This window comes from Homo sapiens, chromosome 16 (assembly GCF_000001405.40).
Source record: "Homo sapiens chromosome 16, GRCh38.p14 Primary Assembly".
NCBI classification, from domain to species: Eukaryota; Metazoa; Chordata; class Mammalia; order Primates; family Hominidae; genus Homo; species Homo sapiens.
This window is the reverse complement of record NC_000016.10, coordinates 75,442,907-75,466,741: the sequence shown is the minus strand read 5'-3', so window position 1 is coordinate 75,466,741 and position 23,835 is coordinate 75,442,907. Positions and strand designations below refer to the sequence as shown.

At 44.6% G+C, this 23,835-nt stretch overlaps 1 protein-coding gene across 10 annotated transcripts, besides 5 other annotated features; it reads left to right on the top strand.

Moving 5' to 3' along the window:
• Window positions 1,883-2,383: an enhancer, noted in NCBI's record as "H3K27ac hESC enhancer chr16:75498257-75498757 (GRCh37/hg19 assembly coordinates)". NCBI's record gives its function as "activates a minimal SCP1, AML or CMV promoter by ChIP-STARR-seq in primed H9 embryonic stem cells {active_cell/tissue: H9 hESC(primed)}" and the evidence as "EXISTENCE:reporter gene assay evidence [ECO:0000049][PMID:30033119]".
• Window positions 1,883-2,706: a biological region, named in NCBI's record as "H3K27ac hESC enhancer GRCh37_chr16:75498257-75498757".
• Window positions 2,005-23,688, top strand: TMEM170A (transmembrane protein 170A). 10 transcript variants are annotated; one of them, XM_017022940.2, is made up of 4 exons: window positions 2,299-2,510; window positions 3,236-3,322; window positions 14,903-15,004; window positions 19,054-23,688. In XM_017022940.2, the coding sequence occupies exons 1-4, from the start codon at window positions 2,492-2,494 to the stop codon at window positions 19,182-19,184; spliced, it is 339 nt and encodes a 112-aa protein (XP_016878429.1). In that variant the 5' UTR covers window positions 2,299-2,491; the 3' UTR covers window positions 19,185-23,688. The 10 variants fall into 10 exon arrangements, with proteins under 10 accessions (XP_016878430.1, NP_001291927.1, NP_001291925.1 ...); XM_011522869.3 differs by having other exon boundaries at window positions 14,903-15,073; XM_017022941.2 differs by lacking the exons at window positions 2,299-2,510; window positions 3,236-3,322 and adding an exon at window positions 2,005-2,070 and having other exon boundaries at window positions 14,903-15,073.
• Window positions 2,077-2,706: a silencer, noted in NCBI's record as "silent region_7720". NCBI's record gives its function as "represses an Ori minimal core promoter by ATAC-STARR-seq in GM12878 lymphoblastoid cells {active_cell/tissue: GM12878}" and the evidence as "EXISTENCE:reporter gene assay evidence [ECO:0000049][PMID:35858748]".
• Window positions 3,573-3,622: an enhancer, noted in NCBI's record as "active region_11131". NCBI's record gives its function as "activates an Ori minimal core promoter by ATAC-STARR-seq in GM12878 lymphoblastoid cells {active_cell/tissue: GM12878}" and the evidence as "EXISTENCE:reporter gene assay evidence [ECO:0000049][PMID:35858748]".
• Window positions 9,786-10,287: an enhancer, noted in NCBI's record as "H3K4me1 hESC enhancer chr16:75490353-75490854 (GRCh37/hg19 assembly coordinates)". NCBI's record gives its function as "activates a minimal SCP1, AML or CMV promoter by ChIP-STARR-seq in naive H9 embryonic stem cells {active_cell/tissue: H9 hESC(naive)}" and the evidence as "EXISTENCE:reporter gene assay evidence [ECO:0000049][PMID:30033119]".
• Window positions 23,689-23,835: the final 147 nt, after the last annotated feature.

Here is a 23,835-nt window from a genome sequence, read left to right as displayed (position 1 = left end):
TTGCTTGGCAGATCGGTGAATTGGTCACTTTTTAAAAAGATTTTAAAAGGTATGATTTATGTAGCATAAAATTCATTTATTTTAACTGTACAATTCAATGATTTTTAAAGAAGTTTTCAGGCTGGGCACGGTGGCTCACGCCTGTAATCCCAGCACTTTGGGAGGCCAAGGTAGATGGATCACCTGACGTCAGGAGTTTGAGACAAACCTGACCAATATGGTGAAATTCCATCTCTGCTAAAAATACAAAAATTACCTGGGCATGGTGGCACGGAGCTATAATCCCAGCTACTTGGGAGGCTGAGGCAGGAGAATTGCTTGAACCCGGGAGGCGAAGGTTGCAGTGAGCCGAGATTGCGCCACTACACTCCACTCCACTCCAGCCTGGACGACAGAAAAAGACTGCGTCTCAAAAAAAAAAAAAAAAAAAAAAAAAAAAAAAAAAAATTTACCAGTCAGGTGCAGTGGCTCACGCCTGTAATCCCAGCACTTTGGGAGGCCAAGGCAGGTGGATCGCTTGAGGTCAGGAACGAGACCAACATGGATAACATGGCAAAACCCTATCTCTACTCAAAATACAAAAATTAGCTGGGCCTGGTGGCACGCGCCTGGAATCCCAGCTACTGGGGAGGCTGAGGCAGGAGAATCGCTTGAACCAGGGAGGCGGAGGTTGCGGTGAGCTGAGATTTCGCCACTGCACTCCAGCCTGGGCAACAAAGTGAGACTCTGTCTCAAAACAAACCAACCAACCAAACAAAAACATTATTATTCGTCACAAGCCTCTTCATCACCTGGAACCTTGTGGACATTACTTATCCTTGGTAACTTCCCTTCCAGAACACTATTGTTAATGGCTGCTATGGTCTGAACGTGTTCCCCCAAATTCATGTCCTGAAACTTCGTGGGAATGCGATAGTACTGAGAGGAGGGGCCTTTAGGAGACGATTAAGTCAGAAGAGTGGAGCCCCCGTTATGGGATTAGGACCCTTATAAAAGGGATTTGGAGAGTGGGCTCCCTTTGTTACCGTGTGAGGACGCCCGGGCGGTGCTATCAGTGAGGAACGGGCCGTCCTTAGACATGGAACCTGCTGCGACCTTGATCTTGGACCTCCCAGCTTCCAGAACTGTGAGAAAATAAATTTCTGTTCTTAATAAATTGCCCACTCTCAGGTACTTTGTTACAGCAGTGCAAACAAACTGAACATTAGCTTATTCCTTTTTACGATTTCTCTGCCTTCATTTTAACAGGCTTTCTGAAGGGAGGTGAGACAAAAATGTGTGATCCACGAGGACAGGAAATCGAGACCATCCTGGCTAACACGATGAAATCCCGCCTCTACTAAAAATACAAAAAATTAGCCGGGCGTGGTGGCGGGCGCCTGTAGTCCCAGCTACTCGGGAGGCTGAGGCAGGAGAATGGTGTGAACCCGGGAGGCAGAGCTTGCAGTGAGCAGAGATCGCGCGGCCGCACTCCAGCCTGGGTCACAGAGGGAGACTCCGTCTCAAAAAAAAGAAAAAAGTGTGATCTAATTTTATTGCTCTGAACCGAATCTCTGTACATTTTATTTTATTTAAAACTAAGTCGAGCTCTATAGAGGCTACATAGCCTCCCTCCCATTCTGGTCCCACACCAGACTTTGCATGGGCTCTTTCTACTATCAGCTTTAAATAGAGAACGTTCTTGTTCTGTTCATGAAGGTTTCATAAATGCTGGAGTCCAGTCATAACTAGAACTTTACATATCCGTTCCATCACTGTATTTTTCCAGATCCCTGGTAACTCCATAGCGCGGCTCTGTTGGGGCGCATGCAATTCCCTACTTTCTCACAGGGGGCGCTGCAGAGAAGGGCAGAGCAGAGCGCGCGGTCCCAGAGCGCGCCGTCCAGGAGGGGGCGCGTCCGTGGGGCTGTGTCTCTGCGAGCCCTGCGCAACGTTGGGGGCGGGAACAACCCTGGCCCTGCGCCCGAGCGCTGCGGCGCCTTGTGATTGGAGGAGGCAACGGTCACTTGGCAGCGCCGTTGGGATTGGGGGAAGAGGACCCCGGCTGGAGGTGACGCTGAGGCGGCGAGGGTGAGTCGGCGCCGGCCGCTACCGCACTTCGGGCGCTCGTCCCTCATTTCTCTGTGGTGAATGGCGACGGGATGGAGCGCGAGGGGAGCGGCGGCAGCGGCGGGTCGGCCGGGCTCCTGCAGCAGATCCTGAGCCTGAAGGTTGTGCCGCGGGTGGGCAACGGGACCCTGTGCCCCAACTCTACTTCCCTCTGCTCCTTCCCAGGTACGGCCCGCCCCGCGCCTGCGCACTGCGCGCCCCGCCGTCGCCGCTGCCGTGCTGTGGGCGCCCCGAGTCTGGGCGGGGTCCCGGGTGCGCAGCCTGCTGGCGGCGTGGGCGCTGTCCTCCGGGAGGGGGGCCGTGCTGCTCGCCCGGAGCCCCTTTCCCCATCACTTCTTCGGCGGTCCCTGAGGCGGAGCCCCGGAGTCCCGCTGGGCGTGAGATGCAGAGAGCGGCCGCAGGTGGGCCCGGGGCTGGAGGGCGCTCGGCCGCCACCCGAGCGGGTCTTGGCCTTGAGCTTCCGAGCGCCTCAGGTTCAGAGCTGCACCCCACGAGCCCGGGAGGCTGTGGTCCCCGCCCTGCCTGGGTTGCCCCACGGCGCCCGGCCTCCTTCGAGGGGTCTCGGAGCGGCCCGGCCGCGCTGAGGAGTCAGAGCTCGCGCTCCCCTTGCCCCGGGGCTGCAGCCCGGCCCCTCCGCGCAGGCGCTCGTTCGCTGATCGCGGGCGCCTGGGGCTAAATCCTCCCCCTCCGAGACCCGCTCCGCTTTCTAGGAATCTTTCCCAGACCTGGTGCCACCTGTTGCTGGGTCTCCCACTAAGCCTTCGAGATCTTTGGCACAGCTTCCTTTGAACTCTTCCTCCCCGCTGCGGCTTGAGCTGGGCCTGCTAGGAGGGTTGCTCAGAATTCTAATGCCAGGAAGAGCGCTCCGTGCCCTGAAAGCTGGAGGGAGGAGAGAGGACTTCACTTGGGAAGGAGGAGAAAAGCTTTGAGGGGAGGCACAGTTATTTGTGTGGTCCTTGAAAGGCAAGAAGACTAGAGCCCGTGGCCCTGGAAGGGGAGGTGGGGCTCCCAGCAGAGGGGACTGAGGTCTTCATAAACAATGAGGGACCAGAGCAGAGGGAAGGAGGACGAGATTCCAGACTCTAGTTCCAAACAAGGCACCTGTGATTTCTCATCCCCTGGGCAGCGACTGCCAGGCGCCGTTCAGCGGACACCTGGGACTTGCAGTGTTATGTGCCCAGGGATTTTCCCGGACGGGATTGTGAAGTAGCGGGTAAGGTCATCAGGCAGGTTGGGGTCAGATGCAGATGTTCGCTTGTGGTCATTCCTGAAATGAGAATCTGGCAGCTCACGTTATTTCAGAAGGTGCTAGGATCACTTTTGACAGTGATATCAAAAAATTGATGGTATTCTGGTGACCCTGTGTGATACATGAAATGTTCGTGCAATCTGGAGGCACTACTGGGACCAGATTAATCTTTGTTTCCTTAATTTTCCCCTTTCCTGAAAAATGTCAAGCCTGCCAAACAGTTGAGAGAACAGTATAACAAATACCCATGTACCCTTTACTTAGACTCAGTAATATTTTGATTCTTTGGCTTTCTGTTTCTCTTTCTCTCTCTCTGCTCTCTTTCTCTCTCTCTATATATATAACCACATGTATTACATACGTATCACACTTAGATGTAGGTCACATGTCCCATTTCAACTCGAGTCATTCAATAGGAAGTTGCAGAAGTCATAACACTTGCTTGATGCCTGATAATCTTAACATGTATCTTCTAAAAACCATTTTCTATCCATGAAACCATATCACATCCAAGAAACTGAACATCATAGAATAATGTTACCTAATGTGTGGGCCTTGTTTACATTTCCCCAATTGTCCACATAGATTTTTTTCCTTAAAAAAATATATATATTCCATGATCTAAGGTTCACACATTGCATTAAGTTGTCCGTCTCTTTAGTTTCATTTAGCTAAAACAGTTACTTCCTTGTTTGAATTTTTTAAGATGGACATTTTGGAAGAGTCCATGTGAATTGTTGTATAGACTGTTTTACAATCTAGGTTCATTAGATGGTCTTCATGATTAGATTTAGATTAAACATTTTTGGTCAGAACGCTACCTACCTAGGTGACGTCCACTCACCAGTACATCACATCAAGAGACACTGAATGTCAGCCTGGCTCAGTGGCTCACACCTGTAATCCCAGCACTTTGGGAGGCTGAGGCAGGCGTATCACCTGAAGTCAGGAGTTCAAGACCAGCCTGGCCAACATGGCAAAACCTTGTCTCTACTAAAAAGTCAGGCGTAGTGGTGTGTGCCTGTAATCCCAGCTACTGGGGAGGCTGAGGCACGAGAATCTCTTGAACCCAGGAGGCAGAGGTTGCAGTGAGCCAAGATTGCGCCACTGCACTTTAGCCTGGGTGACAGAGCGAGGCTTTGTCTCAACAAAAAAAGAGACATTGAATGTCAATTTGTATCTTCATTGATAATACTAAGTTTGATCATTTGGTGAAGATGGTGTCTATGAAAACTCTACTGTAAGGGTATCTGCATCCTCTCTTTACTACCAAGTTTGATCATTTGGTGAAGATGATGTCTATCAGAACTCTCTACTGTAAGGGTTCCTGCATCCTCTGTTAATTAAACGTCATATGTAGGGTCATAAGTTGGAACTGAATAGTCTGTTGAGTCTCTGGCTTTTAGTTCCCTTTCATTAAGAAAAGATTGAGATAAGTGGATTTGGGATAGGTTTAATACATCACAGTAGGTAATCTGTAGCCATGTGAATTGTTTTACTTTCAGAACTTTTTTCTGAAAATATTAAACTTCAGTATGTTCTTGAGTTTATGATTACTGTTATGGGTATGTAACTTGTGATGTCGATTACCAGAGATCGTTTATTCAGTAAGTATACATTTGGCCAAGTGCCAACTCTGGTCTGGTGTTATGAGCAGGTATGAGGCATAGCCCTTGACCCCAAGTAGATCAGAATTTGGTAGTAAACACATAACCTCCCTGCTGTGTCTCATCTTTGGCAGGAATAATGGGTGTAATAAATACATGAAGTTATATCCTATTTGAGACACCAAAATCTGCTTAACAGGAGTTGCATTCATTGTCCTGAATCTGTTGTATTGATATTTTGGCCCCACAGAAAAGGTTACTTGCAGTGTATGCCAACTCATTATGGCAGAATCATTGTTCTGAAGTATTCTGACATATTTATGTATACCAGGAAGTACTGAATTGATTTTTTCTTTATTACCTGTATTTGCAGTTTAGCCATTTACCTACGGAGGGTTAGGTAGACATCTAAATGACTAAATTGGCCGGTTGCCGTGGCTCACGCCTGTAATCCCAGCACTTTGGGAGGCCGAAGCGGGCGGATCATCTAAGGTCAGGAGTTCAAGACTAGCCTGGCCAACGTGGTGACACCCCATCTCTACTAAAAATACAAAAATTTGCGGGGCGTGGTGGTGCATGCCTGTAATTCCAGCTACTCGGGAGGCTGAGGCAGGAGAATCGCTTGAACCTGGGAGGGGGAGGTTGCAGTGAGCTGACATCATGCCACTGCACTCCAGCCTGGGCCACAGAGCGAGACTGTCTCAAAAATAAATAAATGAGTATAAGTAAATGGCTAAACTGCAAATGCAGTTTAAAATTTTTTCCTTTATTGTTGTCATTTTTAACAAACCTCAAAACCAAGAAACTGAGATCTTTATCTTGTATCAAGAATGACATTCATCTTCAGAAGATACAGATTTCACTAAATCAGTGTCAAATTAGATCTAGTGATAATTAAAAACCCAGTAATGTTTTTGTGTCATCCTTGCAGGAATCAAGACTGGTCACACTTGGACCAGTCATTTATTCATTCACTCAAAAAATATTTGCTCAGTGTTGATTGTGTGCCTGTTGTTTTCTAGGCACCAAGTCAAGATGCCATAGTAACAAAGCAAAGCCCCTTCCCACGTGGAACTTTCATTCCAATGGGGAGAGAGAAAAACAAAACAGCTGGTGGTGAGGGGCCTGGGAAGGGGCAGGGCCTGTGTGGTGGGGGTGGATTGCTGTTTGCTGTAAAGTGATGGGGAGGCCCTGGATGGTGATGATATTGGAGTCAAAATCTGAAGAAAGTGAGTAATGAGCCAACAGCTACTTGGGGAAGAGCATGTGTTCTAGGCCAGGGAGCAGCAGATTCAGAGGCCCTGAAACAGGAGCTTGCAGAAGAAACACTGAGGAGCCCAGGGTGCCTGGAGGGACTGTGTCGGCAACGCACAGAGGAGGAGGGGAGGGTAGATCCTGGAGGGCTCTACTGGGGAATTTTGAACAGAGATGGGATGATTCTGACTTTTTAAAAAAGTGTACAATCCAGTGGTTTTTAGTATATTTACAGAGTTATACAACTATCACAATTAATTTGAGAATATTTGCATCATCCTGAGAAGAAACGTTCTTTGTACAAAGAAGAAACTTAAGAAACTTACCGGCTTTGCATGGAGAGTAGATGGAAGGCCCCATCAGGACAGACAAGGTCTGGTCAGGCTAGGATGCAGAGACCACTGAGGTGAGGCAGGCCAGGGGCACACCCAGGAACCAGGGAGGAGCAGGCAGGCAGTATCCAGAGAGAGGTGGTTGACTACAGTTGGTAGTTCAGTGGGCACATCATCTTGTTAGGGAGGAGTAGAGAGGACAGTTGGACCTCCAGGCCAGGAGGTGGGGTTTGGCAAGAGAGGGTGCAGGGCTGCAGGCTGATGGGTGATTAGTATCAAGATAGCCCAACTTCAGCATGGAGTTGCAGGACTACGTAAGACTTTTTTTTTTTTTGAGATGGAGTTTCGCTCTGTCCCCCAGGCTGGAGTGCAATGGTGTGATCTTGGCTCACTGCAACCTCTGCCTCGCAGGATCAAGTGATTCTCCTGCCTCAGCCTCCTGAGTAGCTGGGATTAGAGGCAGACACCACCAAACCCGGCTAAATTTTGTAGTTTTAGTAGAGATGGGGTTTCACTGTGTTGGCCAGGCTGGTCTTGAACTCCTGACCTCAGGTGATCCTCCTACCTCGGCCTCCTAAAGTGCTGGGATTACAGGTGTCAGCCACCACGCCCTGCCAAGACTACATAAGAGTGTTAATCCCCAGGAGGACTCATGTGGTCTGCTTAGAACCCCAGCTTCAGAGGAACTGGCTGTGTTGACCCAGTTGTTCACTGAAACACAAGATGAGAGTGGGGCCAGCTGGAAGGAGGGCTGAGTACTGAGCCTCATGCTGCCCACTTGGCTCAGGTTGTTTGCATTGCTGCCATTTGGGGCCAGGTTGGTCATGAGGCCTTGGTTGGGAGTTAGGTGACTCTGCTGTGGAGGTTAGAGGCCAGGGAGCCAGCCATTATAGACCGCTTTTGTTAATACAGAATCCACTAGAGGATTCTGCTCTCTGTGTCTGTTCTTTCACTGCAGTATCTCTCTGAATATGTATCTTAAAGATATGTCTGTCTAGGCTGGGCACAGTGGCTCATGCCTGTAATCCCAGCACTTTGGGAGGCCAAGGCGGGTGGATCACCTGAGGTCAGGAGTTCGAGACCAGCCTGGCCAATATGGTGAAACCCCATCTCTACTAAAAATACAAAAATTACCTGGGCGTGGTGGCATGCACCTGTAGTCCTAGCTACTTGGGAGGCTGAGGCAGAATAATTGCTTGAACCCAGGAGGCAGAGGTTGCAGTGAGTCGAGATCACGCCGCTGCACTCCAGCCTGGGCAACAGAGTGAGACTGTCTCAAAAAAAAGAAAAAAAAAGATATGTCTCTGTAAAAATATATCCTCAAGGAAATCCTCAAATATCTTTTAGGGTAGGGATCTTAGTCTTTTTACTGATATGTCAGCATATAGAATGAGATCAATGTATATTTATTTGATTGATCAGTGATTAACTTTTTAGTGTTTTTATGACTGCTATTGCTACTGTAATTAATTCCACAAATTTAGCAGCTTAAAGCCATACAGATTTTATTGTCTTACAGTTATGAAGGTCAGAAGTCCAAATTGGGTGTGTGTGGGCTAAAACCAAGGTTTAGCAGGGCTGTGTTCCTTCTGGAGCTTGTAATAAGAACTTTGCTTGCCTTTTCCAGCATTTAGAGGCCACGTACATTCCCTGATGCTTGGCCTGCTCTTCTTCTTCATAGCCAGCGGCATAACATCTTCAAATCTCTCTGACTCTTATCTCCTACCTTGGTCTTACAAAGACCCTGTGATTACATTAGACCTAACTGGAAAATCCAAGACAATCTCCTTTTGGAAGATCCTTACTTTAGTCACCACAATGTCCCTTTTCCCATGTGGGTTAATCTGTTCACAGGTTTTGGAGATGGAGATGCGAACACCTTTGGGAGCCCATTCTACCACAATGCTTAATCTCATTTTCCAATATCATATTGTATTACAGATTAATTACCTGATTTACCTTCACCATAGGGAGATGATGTGCCTTTAGCTGCCAAAGTAAACAAAGCCGAAGTAATATACTTGCTTTAAAGCAGTGAACAAATAAATACTGTAAGATATGTAGACAAAGATTTGAGAGAGTTTTGAGCCAGCGAAATGAAAAGTACTGTATGACAATCGATAAATAGCTATTAAATAGATGGCAAATTAAGGTGCAGTAGATTAAAGGGAAATCACTTAGTTTTTTAAAAAGCGTTTTAGATTCAGGTTTGCCTTTGCTATTTAGAGTCCTGTAATAACCTCATGTGAAAGTGTTTTATAAGCTGTACTCCTCTACTCATCTATAATAAACCTTTTTTTCCTACTTGAAATGACTTTAGTGATGCTATATAAAATACATAGTGAAGGAGCTAATGGATGTGGCTCAGGGTTGTAGGGGGTGCGGTGTGCCTCCTCCCTTTCTCAGAACCTCAGAGAGGTGTTGGCCTGCTGTGTATGCCGGACGCTGTTTACAAATTGGCCTTTAAGCTTTTTGGAAAATTGAGATGTGGGTTGGTGACTTAGCAGGCCTCCTGGGGCAGGGGCTGTGCTCCTAGGGAAGTGGGGATGGGTGACATTTTTGTCTCAGCATGGGCCGCCATAACAAAATACCACAGACTAGCTGTCTTAAATAACAGACATTATCTCCTCAGTTCTGGAGGCTGGAAGGCTGGGATTAGGGTGCCAGGATGGTTGGGTTCTGGTGAAGACCCTCTTCCTGACTTGCAGATGGCTGCCTTCTCACCATGTCTTCACATGGCAGAGAGAGAGAGGTATCAAGAGATTGAGAATCTCTTCCTCTCCTAAGACCACAGTCCTGTAGGGTTTAACACAGGAATAGTAGGGGCACATAATTCAGCCCTTAGCACTTGGATGGCATACCTGTGTTCCAACCTGCTTTCCTGGAAATTACCAGCTTCGTGTGTTTCTGGGATATTAAGGCTTTGCCTCCCAGTTCAAGGCCTCAGTGGTTCTGTGGCAGCTGGTAGGAAGCCAGGCTCCAGCAGTGCCTTGAGTTACTGCAGAAAGCAGAGCTTCTCTCTAAAACTCTGGCAGCTCCAGCAGAAGCCCTGGATAGCAGGGACCCAGGGCTGATCTCAGGTCAGTATGGGGCAGACAGCAGCCAGGTGAAGATTGTTCTGAGTTCTTGGAGGCAGGTTTGCATCCCATTTGTCCACTTTGGACCAGTGAATTCCTGATGCCATCATAGAATTTTCTGTAGACTAGGTGTTGGGGTAGTCAGGATCAGATTGATTTGGGAGTGGCACGTGAGGACTCGGGATAGAAGATGGTCTTTCTGCTTTGGAAGAGAAGCATGGTGCTGTGTGGGGGCTTGGGGATGAGCTGGCGGTGGGTGGTGGACAGGGGGCCTCAGCTGGGAGGCCAGGCCACTCTTGACTGATCCAGGGGCCACAGTAGCTGCCCAGGCAGGAGAGATTTGTGTGGGCACCAGAGCTCTGGCAGGTGCACATTTGTTAGGGAGGAGCAGTATCCAGATGCAGGCACTGCTCCCTCTGGAGTTGCTGCCAGCCAGGGAGGGTGCGTCTCTGGGCAGCGAAAGGCAGGAATAGCTCCTGGCCTAATGGCGGCTAGAAGAGAAACTGCAGGAGGATATGGGTTTGTTGTGGAAGAGGTGGGGGCTGAAACCCTGAGGACCAAGAATCCTGCCCTCAATTTCTGATTGACACTATTGACTAAGGCTGACTTTTTTCATTGGTGGAGGAAGACTCCTGAGTCGCCAGGATTACAGGCTTGCGCCACCCCACCTAGCTAATTTTTATATTTTTTGGTCGAGACGGTTTCGCCGTGTTGGCCTGGCTGTTCTGGAACTCCTAACCTCAGATGATCCACCCGCCTCAGCCTCCAAAGTGCTGGTATTACAGATGTGACCCACTGTGCCCGGCCTCATTTGTTATTTTTAATAAGCATTGAGACCTAATTGGGGCATCCTTGATGTTTTCACCGAGAACCATTTATCCAAAACAAGACCTGAGCACTCTCACTGGAAGTGTTCAGAATATGCTCTGAATTGAAGCTTTATTAACTCAAAATGGGCAAAGAATTTGAGCAGTCATCTGTGACAATGTCAAGGGTGGGTTAAGGGGATTTGGCTCCACCCCTATCTCCAATAGCCCCTTAAATCCAGCTTCTCAACAAGATTAAGAAGCCTGTGTAAAGGGAATAAAAATACCTTCATAAAACTGTGGTTTTCATTGATCTGGGGGAAAAAACACACACACTAACAGTGTGCTTACAGTGCTAATACAGCTTCAGTAAAGCTTCTGGTCCTCCTCTCCTCCCCCTTTCTAATCCCCTCAAGCGGATTGATGCCCCTGACTGGTCTCTTTTAAATTGTTTATCCCAATAAGCTCATTCTTCCTGAGCAGTTCTTGTGAAAACAAAAGCTTTGTTTTTTCTTACCTTGTTTTTCTTTTTAAAGTCTAGCTCTCTTGCCCTCGGCTCATTGCGACCTCTGCCTCCTGGGTTCAAGCGATTCTCGGGCTTCAGCCTCCTGAGTAGCTGGGATTACAGGCATTTGCCACCACGCCCGGCTAATTTTTACGTATTTTTAGGAGAGACAGTGTTTCACCATGTTGGCTAGGCTGGTCTTCAACTCCTGGCTTCAAGTGGTGGGATTACAGGCACGAGCACCATGCCTGGCCTATCTAATAATTATTTATTAAATAAACATGCTCAGTACATAGAAGCATTTCCACATGAGTGTTTATTGTGTTTGTTTTCTCAAAAACAGGATCTTATTCTACATGCAACTGGCTTTTGTTACTTCACAATGTGGCTTGGGCATCTTGCCCCTTCAGTATATATACATCTATTGCATTTTTTTTTTTTTTTTTGAGACAGTGTCTCGCTCTGTCACCCAGGCTGGAGTGCAGTGGCGTGATCTCGGCTCACTGCAAGCTCCGCCTCCCGAGTTCACACTATTCTCCTGCCTCAGCCTCCCAAGTAGCTGGGACTACAGGTGCCCGCTGCCTTGCCCAGCTAATTCTTTGTATTTTTAGTAGAGACGGGGTTTTACCGTGTTAGCCAGGATGGTCTCAATCTTCTGACCTCGTGATCTGCCTGCCTCAGCCTCCCAGAGTGCTGGGATTACAGGCGTGAGCCACTGTGCCCAGCCCATCTATTGCATATTTTAATGGGACTTTGTAGTATTACGTGGGTGCACAGAATGTGTTTTCCAAATTCTGCAGTGATAGCCATGCAGGTGACTTCTAGTTTTTGATATTATGGACAATGCTGTTGGGACCTTCTTGTTACCTCTGTCCTTGCCTACCTATGCTTTTCTGTGGGGTGTATCCCCGGAAGTAAAATTGTTGCAGCAAGGGCCATGCACATTTGACTTCCAAATTACCCTGCAAAAAGGTGGTTTTCCAGTTTGTATTCCAACTAGGAGTGTCAGGTGGGGCCTGTGGAATAATGTCATGACAACCGTTACTGCTCAAAACCTATACTGGCACTTTAGATCTTTTGTGAAGTCCTTAGTCTGGTGTCAAATTCCCCAAAGGGTTTCCCTCATCTGTCTTTATAGCTTTAACTGTCATTGCTCTTTTATTTTTTTGAGACGGAGTGTCATTCTGTCTCCCAGGCTGGAGTGCAGTGGTGTGATCTGAGCTCACTGCAACCTCTGCCTCCTGGGTTCAAGCGATTCTCCTGCCTCAGCCTCCCAAGTAGCTGGGACTACAGGTGCCTGCCACCATGCCCGGCTAATTTTGTGTGTGTGTGTATGTGTGTGTATTTTTAGAGAGACAGGGTTTCACTATGTTGGCCAGGCTGGTCTTGAACTCCTGACCTCGTGATTAGCCCACCTCGACCTCCCAAAGTGGTGGGATTACAGGTGTGAGCTACCACGCCCGGCCATCATGGCTCTTATAAAGCCTCTGTGCTTTGGTAAAGCCCGTGGTTTTTAATCAGGGTAGTTTTGCCCCCTTGGGGACATTTGACAATGTCTGGAAATATTTTTGGTTGACACAACTGGGAATAGAGTGCTGCAGGCCAGAGGTGCCTCTCCATATCCTGCAGTGCACAGTGCAGCCCCCACAATGAAAAGTTATCTGGTCCAAATGTCAATAGGGCGGAGGGCGGTGGTCAAGAAACCCTGCTGAGCTAAGCTCTTCACTGATCTCAAAAATCACTTGCTACTTACCTGCCTCTAGCCAAGGATGGACAGTGGGTTTTATCTAATGTGTCACCGCCAGTCCCTCCCTGTGGGTAGCTGGAGAGCTACCTTGAGGATTCTAAGGCCTTGCCTTGGGTTCACTGGGGGGAAATGCTACATGGGCCATTTAACAAATTGTAAAGTCACATTCCAGCAGGATGGTTTTGTTTTCTTTATATGGGTGCCTCATGCATAGTTTTTCATACATAGTTGATGATTATATGTATCTTAATGTTGCCTGAGTTACAGACACCTTAAGAGTGATTAGAGTTCTGTAGGAGCCAGCTCTCCTAACCTGCACTGTTGTTTACCTGCCATTTGTCTTCAAGCCAAACATTTATATTTTCTGGTATTTATTTCATATCCTAAAGAGCTTTGAAATCCTAATAGGAGGTGATGGCTTGATATTTACTGCATTGTCTTTCAAATGATTGTGGAATGAATATAATTGTATAGCTGTCCATTTTAGAAGACTGAGTGATCAAAAGGTCAGGAAAGATCAACAGGCATTGATTGCATAGTACCGTATCAATTGGCTCTTTGGCTTGTGCCTCTTATGGGGGAATTATTTTTGTTTGGGTTTTTTGGTTTTTGGGGGAGTTTTTTGAGACCGTCTCACCCTGTTGCCCAGGCAGGAGTGCAGTAGCATGATCTTGACTTACTGCAACCTCTGCCTCCCAGGCTCAAGCAATCCTCCCACCTCAGCCTCTCGAGTAGCTAGGACTACAGGTATGCAATACCATGCCAGGCTAATTTTTGTATTTTTTGTAGAGACAGGGTTTCGCTGTATTGCCCAAGCTAGTCTCAAACTCCTGGGCTCAAGCGACCTGCCCACCTTGGCCACCTGAAGTGTTGGGATTACAGTCGTGAGCTGCCGTGCCCAGTTATGGTCGGGGACATTATTTAGGTCAATTTTGAAATCTAGATGAACCTTTTTTTTCAGTTTGAGGGTACAGAGATTGGTCAGCTTTTTCTGTGAAGGGCCAGATAGTAAATATGTTAGGCTTTATGGGTCATGTGGTCTGTGTCACTGTTATCAGCTTTGCCCTTGAAGCTGGAAGGCAGCCATAAACAATACTTAAATGAAAGGGCATGGGTTGAATAAGTATGTGTGTGCAAAACTCTTGTAAATGGTTTCAGATAAGTGTGTATGTATAAAAGTATTATGAATGGGTTCAGATAAGTGTGTAAAAAACAGGTGGTGGGTCTGTAGGCAGTAATTTGTTGAACACACTAAAACCGTCAATATTTGGATATTTGACTGATGAACCCTACTTTGCAAGTAAATGATGTTGAAGGCCGGGTGCGGTGGCCTCACACCTGTAATCCCTGCCCTTTAGGAGGCCAAGTTGGGCGGATTGTTTGAGCCGAGGCATTCAAGACCAGCCTGGGCAACACGGTGAGACCCCATCTCTAAAGAAAATACAGGCCAAGCGCAGTGGCTCATGCCTGTTATCCTAGCACTTTGGGAGGCCAAGGCGGGCAGATCACCTGAGGTTGGGAGTTTGAGACCAGCCTGGCGAAACTCCCACTGCACTCCATCCTGGGCAACAGAGTAGTGAGACCCTGTCTCATAAAAAAAGAAAATTAAAAAAAAAAGAATTTTGCCAGGCGTGGTAGCACACATCTGTAGTTCCAGCCACTCCGGAGGCTGAGGCGGGAGAACACCCAGACCTAGGAGGTCAAGGCTGCAGTGAGCCATGATGGTGCCATTGCACTGCAGCCTGGGTGACGGAGTGAGACCCCGTCTTTAAAAATAAAAATTTTTGACTGGGCGCGGTGGCTCACGCCTGTAATCCCAGCACTTGGGAGGCCGAGGCGGGCGGATCATGAGGTCAGGAGATCGAGACCATCCTGGTTAACATGGTGAAACCCCGTCTCTACTAAAAATACAAAAAATTAGCCAGGCGCGGTGGCGGGTGCCTGTAGTCCCAGCTACTCGGGAGGCTGAGGCAGGAGAATCGTGTGAACCCAGGAGGCAGAGCTTGCAGTGAGCCGAGATCACGCCACTGTACTCCAGCCTGGGTGACAGAGCGAGACTCCGTCTCAAAAAAAAATTAAAAATAATAAAAATTTTTCAAAAAAAAGGAAAAAAGAAACGGTGTTGAAAATGAAATGACGGGTATGATGAGTACCCTCTGCAATGATTGTCCTGGGAAGGGCAGTGATTCACAACTTTTCTTTGTCTTCCCTCATAGAGATGTGGTATGGTGTATTCCTGTGGGCACTGGTGTCTTCTCTCTTCTTTCATGTCCCTGCTGGATTACTGGCCCTCTTCACCCTCAGACATCACAAATATGGTAGGTTCATGTCTGTAAGCATCCTGTTGATGGGCATCGTGGGACCAATTACTGCTGGAATCTTGACAAGTATGTTAGACATTAAAATACCAGTCAAAAATGTTTAATATGACTAGTCAATTTCAGGACCTATTCTAGAAAACATATCTGAGTAGGATGAAGGAAAGAGTGCCTTTTAACTGCAAGTCCAGACAGGGTCTCCCTATGTCACCAAGGCCGGAGTGCAGTGGTTGCAATATTGGCTCACTGCAGCCTCCACCTCTTGGGCTCAAGTAATCCTCCTCCATCAGCCTCCCAAGAAGCTTGGACTACAGGGGTGTGCCACCATGCCCCGCTAATTTTTTTTGTATTTTTTGTAGAGACAGGGTTTCGTCATGTTGCCCGGGTCTCGAACTCCTGAGCTCAAGCAATCTGCCCACCTTGGCCTCCCAAAATGCTGGGATTACAGGCGTGAGCCACTGTGCCTGGCCCAGTTTTTTTAATGTATTGATTTTTTTTTTCCACCCCCAAGGTCCTATTACTTGGCTAACCTCTTTGACTTCTTGAGTCAGATTTCATCTCAGTGGCTTCAGGGAAGTCATGTTAAACTTTGTGAGATATATCTCGTGAGAGAGGCCACCAGCAAGAGGAAAATTTATCTTTTTGGAAGCTACTTCTCCTCTCTGATCAGCTATCACTTGAGCATTGGCCCTGCAAGATGGTTGGTGAATTACTTCCACTCATGTGGGTGTGGTTGCTGTAAAGATAGAAGACAAATTTTGATGACAAGAATTCTTTGCCAGGTGTAGTGGCTCATGACTGTAATCCCAGCACTTTGGGAGGCAGAGGTGGGAGGCTTGCTGAAGCCTAGGAAATTGAGACTAGCCTCAGCAACATAGCAAGACCCCATCTCTACAAATAAAAATAAAAAATTTAGCTGAGTGTGGTGGTGTGTACCTGTGGTTCCAACTACGTGGGAGGCTGAAATGGGAGGATTGCTGGAGCCAGGAGGTCCAGGCTGGGCTGCAGTGAGTCGTGATCACACCACAGCACTCCAGCCTGGGCCACAGAGCAAGACCCGGGGGAAAAAAAAAGAATTCTTGCTTAGAAAAGTACCCGATTAGTGCTCTAGTTATTTTTTTCCCCTTAGGACTTTCTGAATAAGAATTGGAGTAACATGATGTTATGAATTATTTTCAGGCTTGTTTTTGGGGCGTTTGGTTTGTTATGGCTTTTGCTTATGGGATAAGAAACAGTTACAGAAATGAGAACAATAAGTTTAAATCATTTCAAAGCTCATGCATAAATATAAATGTGTATTTTATATAAACTGAAAATTCTAAGTAATTAAAATGTAAAATCCTCCATTTTCTCATCCCTAAATAATAGCCACAGTTTACATCTTGGTGTGTATTTCTTTTTTTAGGTATAGATGTAAACATAAATACATTTTTATAATATAGAAATGTAATATTCCTACTGATTTGTAACTTTTTTTCACTGTGAATTGAAACCTTAGCATCAAGCAGAAATCGCCCTCTATGTCTTTGACTTGAGGTGTTTTTTTTTTTTTTTTTTGAGAGAAAGTGGCCTAGTTTCTCTGTGTTCTAACTGTATCACCTACTGCTGCTTTGGAGACCCTCTGCCCCAGGATGACTGGCTGCTAGGGCCTGTCTTAGTTTGTTCCTCAGTAAAATAGGGGTAATACTACCCAACCTCATACCCTTGCATGATTGAGCTAATGTGTATATGATGTAATACCTGACACATAGTAATTGTCGAATAAATGTTGTATTCATTTCTGTCTTTAAGGCTCTATGAATAGTCTGTTCCCTTTCCATTTGCTGCTCTCTTGGATATACTTTTTCCTTTCTTCGCTTCATTATCCCAATCCCACTTTAGGGCCCAGTTCAAGTTCCTTAAGCTTCTTTCTATCCAACCCAGTCTTTCTTGTGTACCTAAATTTTGGAGGGGCCCAATGAAACATGTCTTTCAGATGTTAGTAACAAAATGTACGCATTGCCAGTGGAGCTGGGCATTTTAAATCACTAAATGTTCAAGGCAGCCAACCTTTGGTTAATATTGTTCTTTCTTCTTGTTAAAATATGTTAATATACCTTCACATCACATTTGTGAAATGTGCCAGGCATGGTGGCTTATGCCTGTAATCCCAGCACTTTGGGAAGCCAGCTTGGGAGGATTGCTTAAGTCCAAGAGTTCAAAACCAGCCTTGGCAACATAGTGAGACCCTGTCTCTACAAAAAATAAATAAATAAAATAGCCAGGTGTGGTGGCGTGTGCCTGTAGTCCCAGCTGCTCGGGAGGATCACTTGAGCCCAGGAGGTTGAGGCTGCAGGGAGCCATGATCATGCCACCGCATTCCAGCCTAGGTGAAAGAGTGAGACACTGTCTCAAAAAAAAAAAAAATTGTAAACGTGATTGAGACACTGTATGTTATTTTGCATTATTGCAAATCTGTTTCTGTCTTGTGTCCCCAGCTAGATTCCAAGTACCTTGAGAATAGCGATCATACCTTATAAAACACAGAAGTGTTCTGCAGATGAAAATTGGAGTGAATGAACACACTATGACAAAGGAGAATTTTGTTGGAGCATTTTGTGGGGAGGGTCATCTGGGAAATCTGGATCTATTCTTTTCTTTTTAAAATTTTTATTATTTATTTATTTATTTTTATTTGAGAACAGGGTCTTGTTCTGTCACCCAGGCTGGAGTGCAGTGGCATAGTCACAGCTCACTGCAGCCTTGACCTCCCTAGCTCAAGTGATCCCCCTACCTCAGCCACCCAAGCAACTAGGATTACAGGCACGTTCACTACACCCAGCTAATTTTTGTATTTTTTGTAAAGACAAGGTTTGGTCATGTTACCCAGGATGGTCTCAAACTCCTGGGCTCAAGCGATCCTCCTGCCTCGGCCTTCCAAAATGATGGGATTATAGGCTTGAGCCACTGTACTTGGCCGGTTCTTTTTTTTTTTGAGACAGGATCTTGTTCTGTTGCCCAGGCTTGAGTGCAGTGTCGCGATGTGAGCTCACAACAACCTCCACCTCCTGGGTTCAAGCAGCTCTCCTGCCTCAGCCTCCCGAGTAGTAGGGATTACAGGCACGTGCCACCACACTTGGCTGATTTTTTGTATTTTTAGTAGAGATGGGGTTTCACCATGTTGCCCAGGCTGGTCTCAAACTCCTGAGCTCAGATGATCCACCCATCTCGGCCTCCCAAAGTGCTGGGATTACAGGCGTGAGCCACCGTGCCCGGCCGGATCTATTCTTTTCAAACGAATGAAATGTTAACTTTCTTGGTACACTTCCTTGGTATAATGCTGAACTCGTATAGTAACTCAAATGGGTATCTGCATAGATACAGGGGTTTTCGTTTTGTTTTTCCAATTTGCAGGAAATTATAGTGACTAGCGTAATAAAAACAATCAATGACTTGGGAGACAAAGGAATCCCTGAGTATCTCTCCTCTCATGCCCTGTGAATGAATAACAACTTTATGGCTTAGAGTCCTCCTGTCTTCCCTTTTCACCCCTCTAGTCCCTCCTCCGTCCATTTCTTGAAGGGAACTATGAGTGTGATAGAAGGTGGAGTGGGGATTCCCTGTGGCCTGAAACATTTCTTGCTTAGTCTAACTCAAAAGATCCTTTTTCATTTGTTACCAAAAATGTATTAGGTCCCTGTTGAAGGCTAGGCATGGGGTAACTGGTAGGGGAATACAGATATTTTTGAGTTCATAATCTGGTCATGTGGGAATTGCTATCTTTGTGATTTTGATTATTTCTTCCAGATTATTTTATTCAATAAATCTAGGAGACTCTGGGTTTTAAGGAGTCAGCATCTAAAAGTGATCTTGCAAGCCATGCAATGAATACTCAAAGTGTAGAGTAGTCCACAGAAAGAATAGGGAAAACCTAACATTTCTGTAAGATTTAAATTTCAGTATAAAATCTGGAACATTCTACTCGCAGTAGTATTTTAAATGTTGTATTTTCGTGAGTTTGTTAACCTTCGTTTTTTGTTTTTGTTTAACATTCTTGCATTTTAAATCAGGTGCAGCTATTGCTGGAGTTTACCGAGCAGCAGGGAAGGAAATGATACCATTTGAAGCCCTCACACTGGGCACTGGACAGACATTTTGCGTCTTGGTGGTCTCCTTTTTACGGATTTTAGCTACTCTATAGCATACATCCTTATGCTGAGATGTTGAACTTAAACTTTATGGAATCCTCCAAAAGAATACATTATGGAGTGTAGTGTTTTCTTAGTTCTTCAAAGGGAAGCAACTTGGATGAACAGGAACATGAAGGACAACACATCTCAGCCTTTTCTTCATTTTGAAGCTCCTAGAATTGAAGACTTATGTGGACTCCTATTGTTCTCAACCAAAACAAGTCTTTTGGCTTTCTTTTTTGTAGATATTTGATTTAAGCAGTTTTCATGTGTACCTTTACCCAAGCCAAGTCAACAGTGTCTCTGGGGTGGCATCCTTTGCACTGAAATTTACAGTATTCTGTGAGATGTCGCATATTTTGAAGAAACCGTGGAAGATACTGGTTTATTTCAAATGAGCAGAGTATGTTGTATTAAAATCTTATCTAATCTTGATTAAAATTTGGCAAACTCTTTTCTTTGCTACATCTTAGTGACAATAAATGCCAAATAGGTTTTGGTTGAGTATAGTTTTGAAAACAAATTTGGTGAAATAAAGCAGGAAAAAAAATTTAAGTATAACTCAAGTAGTGGCTTTGGTTCCACTGTTTATAAATAAAAAGTAGATAACAATGAATAATGTGACATTTTCTGGACAACTGTCTTGACTTCTGATTAAGATATTTTAAGAGATGTGAATTTGTTATTTTGTATGTTTTATCAAAATAAGCTAGCTAATTTAGACTTTTTAGATTTTCTGTACCACCTTTCCCTATCACTTTTAATTCTCTTAATTTTATTTCATTTAATTGGAAACATACATACCCTATTAAATGGCTTGAGTTGGAAATTTTAAGCCAGATTTGTTTGGACATTGAGGCACACATAAGATACTTTAGGCATTCTGTCATAGTTTTTCTTAGTGACTTTGGTATACTAATGACCCTTGAGAAACTATAGAAGTGCATCTGAAACTAGAGTTAGTGGTTATTGATTTTTTAGCTTAATGTGTTTACCTAGTGGTAACTCTTCAGCCCACTTTTACAGTATTGGGTATCAACTCCCAGAAAGTGCCTAAAGTTTAATGTTCAGATATGTACCCACTCTCCCCTTTACATTTTTATTCAAAAGAATTTATATCTTTAAAGAGATTTAAATATCAAGAGTTTTTTTAAAACTTAATTTTAGCTATTTAAATTTTTATTCTACTGCCTAACTTTCTTTTTCATTAAAAGGCCTGAAAACTGTGACTCTTTGAGAGGGAAAGAATCGCAGAAATTAAGTATTTAATGTGATCCTTTCCACCTAAACTGTTTTGTATGGAATACAATCAGTGTGGTGGTAGTGGTGGTGGTTATCTGCAAAATAGTTTCTGGTGATTAAATCTGACTTTTTTTTTTTTTTTTCTTTTAAATGAGACGGAGCCTCACTGTGTTGCCCAGGCTGGAGTGCAGTGGTGCAATCTCAGCTCACTCCAACCTCTGCCACCCGGGTTCAAGCGATTCTCCTGCCTCAGTTTCCTGAGTAGCTGGGATTACAGGCACCTGCCACCGTGCCCGGCTAATTTTTGTATTTTTAGTAGAGATAGGTTTCACCATCTTGCCCAGGCTGGTCTTGAACTCCTGACCTTGTGATCCACCCGCCTCGGCCTCCCAAAGTGCTGGGATTACAGGCGTGAGCCACCGCGCCTGGCCATAAATCTGACATCTTTAAAGGAAAGTTTTCATTGTGAGATTAAGGCTTAACAGCCCATGAGGTCATATACACATGAACGTATCTATTCCATTTAAAGCAATACACACTCTGGCTTCTGATTAAAAATAGCCAGGAGGAGAGTCTCTGAATCTACTGTGATTCTGGAGTCTGCCCAATTTGGAAAAAAAAAAAAAAGAAAAAAGTCAGGAGGACCAATTTGCCAGGGAAACTCATAGAAAAGAATTACAAAGAGATCACAAAAACTGGACATATTCTTTTGACTAATTAGACCACTTATGGCTGGGCGCAGTGGCTCACACCTATAATCCCAGCACTTTGGGAGGTCGATGTGGGAGGATTGCTTGAGCCCAAGAGTTCAAGACTGGCCTGGGCAACATAGTGAGACCTTGTCTCTACTACAAAATAAAAAAAAATTAGCTGGGCGTGGCCTCAGCTACCCAAGAGGCTAAAGTGGGAGGATCACTTGTGCCTGGGAGGTTCAGGCTGCTGTGAGCCGAGACCACGCCACTGAACTCCAGCTTAGGCCACAGGGCAAGACCCTGTCTTAAAATAATATTACTAATTTTGGTAATTAACTTATCAAAACTATAGTGACATATACACGGGCAGAAACTTATAAGTAGAGTTGTAATGCAGCCAAATATTCTTACAAATTCCCTAACAAGAAGCTCAAATCTTTCTCACAGGCAAATTGTAAAAATTCTAGTTTTTTGTTTAAAGAGCTGTGATTTTCAAAAGTATCCCTTCAGTTTAAGAAATCTGGGGAATTGGTAACTTTTCTTATGGGAAATGATTGCCATCATCTCTACTGAAGGATGCCTCTTACTGAAAAATGTCTTTTGAAGGAGTTCTTGCCTAAAGCATTCTTTGGATGTAATTTCATACACTAAACATATAGACCAGTAGTTAGTGGGCCCCTCCTCTTAAACAGTAACTTTTGAAGTACTGATACATGATTAAAATGTTAGATATTTTTCACTGGAGCTAAGACTTAAAATTAGGGCATTTTGAAAGGTGTATTTGTTTCTGTTTCTTGTTTGATATATTTTGGTTATCTACTCTTTTAAAAAACTAAACGTATAAAAGGTATCTTCAAATTACTGAGTGTTTCATCCATCCCAGTAGGTGAAGTATTCTCCAGTGAATAAATCTATATATATATATAGATTTTAAATAGCTTGAGCGGTGTAGCTTGAAATGTTTTCAGGGAAAGACTATTTGAATCATAAGGAATAGCTTTGATTTTCTTTTTTATGTCTCAAATATAGAATTATTTGGGGGTGGTCACTCAGATGGAAGAATATTGGCAATTGTGTTGAACATTTTACCTTATATAGTTTTGAGAATTTTTGCCAAAAACTGATTTCTTAGAAATATCCTCCCCCAGCTGTGCTTTGGTTTTTTGGTTTTTTTGTTTTGAGACGGAGTCTTGCTCTGTCGCCCAGGCTGGAGTGCAGTGGCATGATCTCGGCTCACTGCAAGCTCTGCCTCCCGGGTTCACGCCATTCTCCTGCCTCAGCCTCCCGAGTAGCTGGGACTACGGACGTCCACCACCATGCCCAGCTAATTTTTTGTATTTTTAGTAGAGACGGGGTTTCACCGTGTTAGCCAGGATGGTCTCAATCTCCTGACCCGCCTCCACCTCCCAAAGTGCTGGGATTACAGGCATGAGCCACCACACCCGGCCTCTGCTTTGTTTTTTAAAAAAAAAGAAATGCAAGAGAGGGAGGGAGGCAGCCTCCTGACCATAAAAGCTGATTTCTTGATTTTTTTTTCTTTTTTTTTTGAAATGGAGTCTTGCTCTGTCTCCAAGGCTGGAGTGCAGTGGCATGGTCTCAGCTCACTGCAGCCTCCGTTTCCTGGGTTCAAGTGATTGTCCTGCCTTGGCCGCTGAGTAGCTAGGATTACTGGCACCCGCCACAAGGCCCAGCTAATTTTTGTATTTTTAGTAGAGACAGGGTTTGATTATGTTGGACAGGCTGGTCTCAAACTCCTGACTTCAAGTGATCCACCCGCCTCGGCCTCCCAACGTGATGGGACTATAGACATGAGCCATCATGCTTGGCCTTCTTGATTCTTGAATACGGGGTTTTGAGGTGAAAGCATTTCATGAAAACTTAAGTTCATACACAAGAGCATCATGAATATTCTAAAAGAGGTATCTGTGCTTTTTTTGTGACCACAAAATATTACTTCTTATGAAATGTTTACACTAGGTGAGGAAAAGTTCATTAATTACCTTTAAACCGTTCCTTATTTTTTTTAAGATTTTAAATTGTATTTTGGCTTTTGCCTCCAGTATCCTTTCTGGTTGCTCTGGTTTGAATTAAGTTCCTATTATGCTGCAGCACATATCAACCTTCCCTAAGTAACCATTTCCTGGAATGTGAAGCATCGGTGCCATTAGCAGACCATATGCAGAAATGTCGTGTACTTGCATTTCTTTTTTGTGCACTCTATAAGGCTGGTTGTGACTCAGATCAGCTTAACTTTTTATATTATGTTATTTCACTAACTGCTACAGTCAAAATGATCAAATCTTTGTACAATAGAAAATTATTTAAATTTTATTTTTCTACTGACATTTCTAATTCTAGTGTAAATGTTTATCAATAAAAAATTACTTTCAATTCTGAGTTGGAATTATATTTCTTTTTGGTGGCTAATGAGTTTAATCTTTTGTAATAAAATTGACTTCAGTTTTCATTTTTTAAATAACTTAATATCTAGCATGTGTAACTTTTTTTATGTTCTACTTCTTACTAATTTATGATAAAATTCTTGTTCAAAGTTGTGATTAAACCGTACTTAACATGTGAACTTGAAATTCTTATTAACTCTACTTGCTGGGCCATATATTCCCATCAAGAAACTTTTGTTTGATTCTGTGCAGGAATAGGTGAGTATTGATACAGTGTGTGAAAATGTATTATTTTAATAGTAAGTCCACATGAAGAGAAGCTTCGT

Coding starts and splice junctions, on each gene's coding strand:
- TMEM170A (NM_145254.3), top strand. CDS start 2,142: ATGGAGCGCGAGGGGAGCGGCGGCAGCGGCGGGTCGGCCGGGCTCCTG. Junction 2,275..14,902: donor TTCCCTCTGCTCCTTCCCAG/GTACGGCCCGCC, acceptor CTTCCCTCATAG/AGATGTGGTATGGTGTATTC. Junction 15,074..19,053: donor TACTGCTGGAATCTTGACAA/GTATGTTAGACA, acceptor ATTTTAAATCAG/GTGCAGCTATTGCTGGAGTT.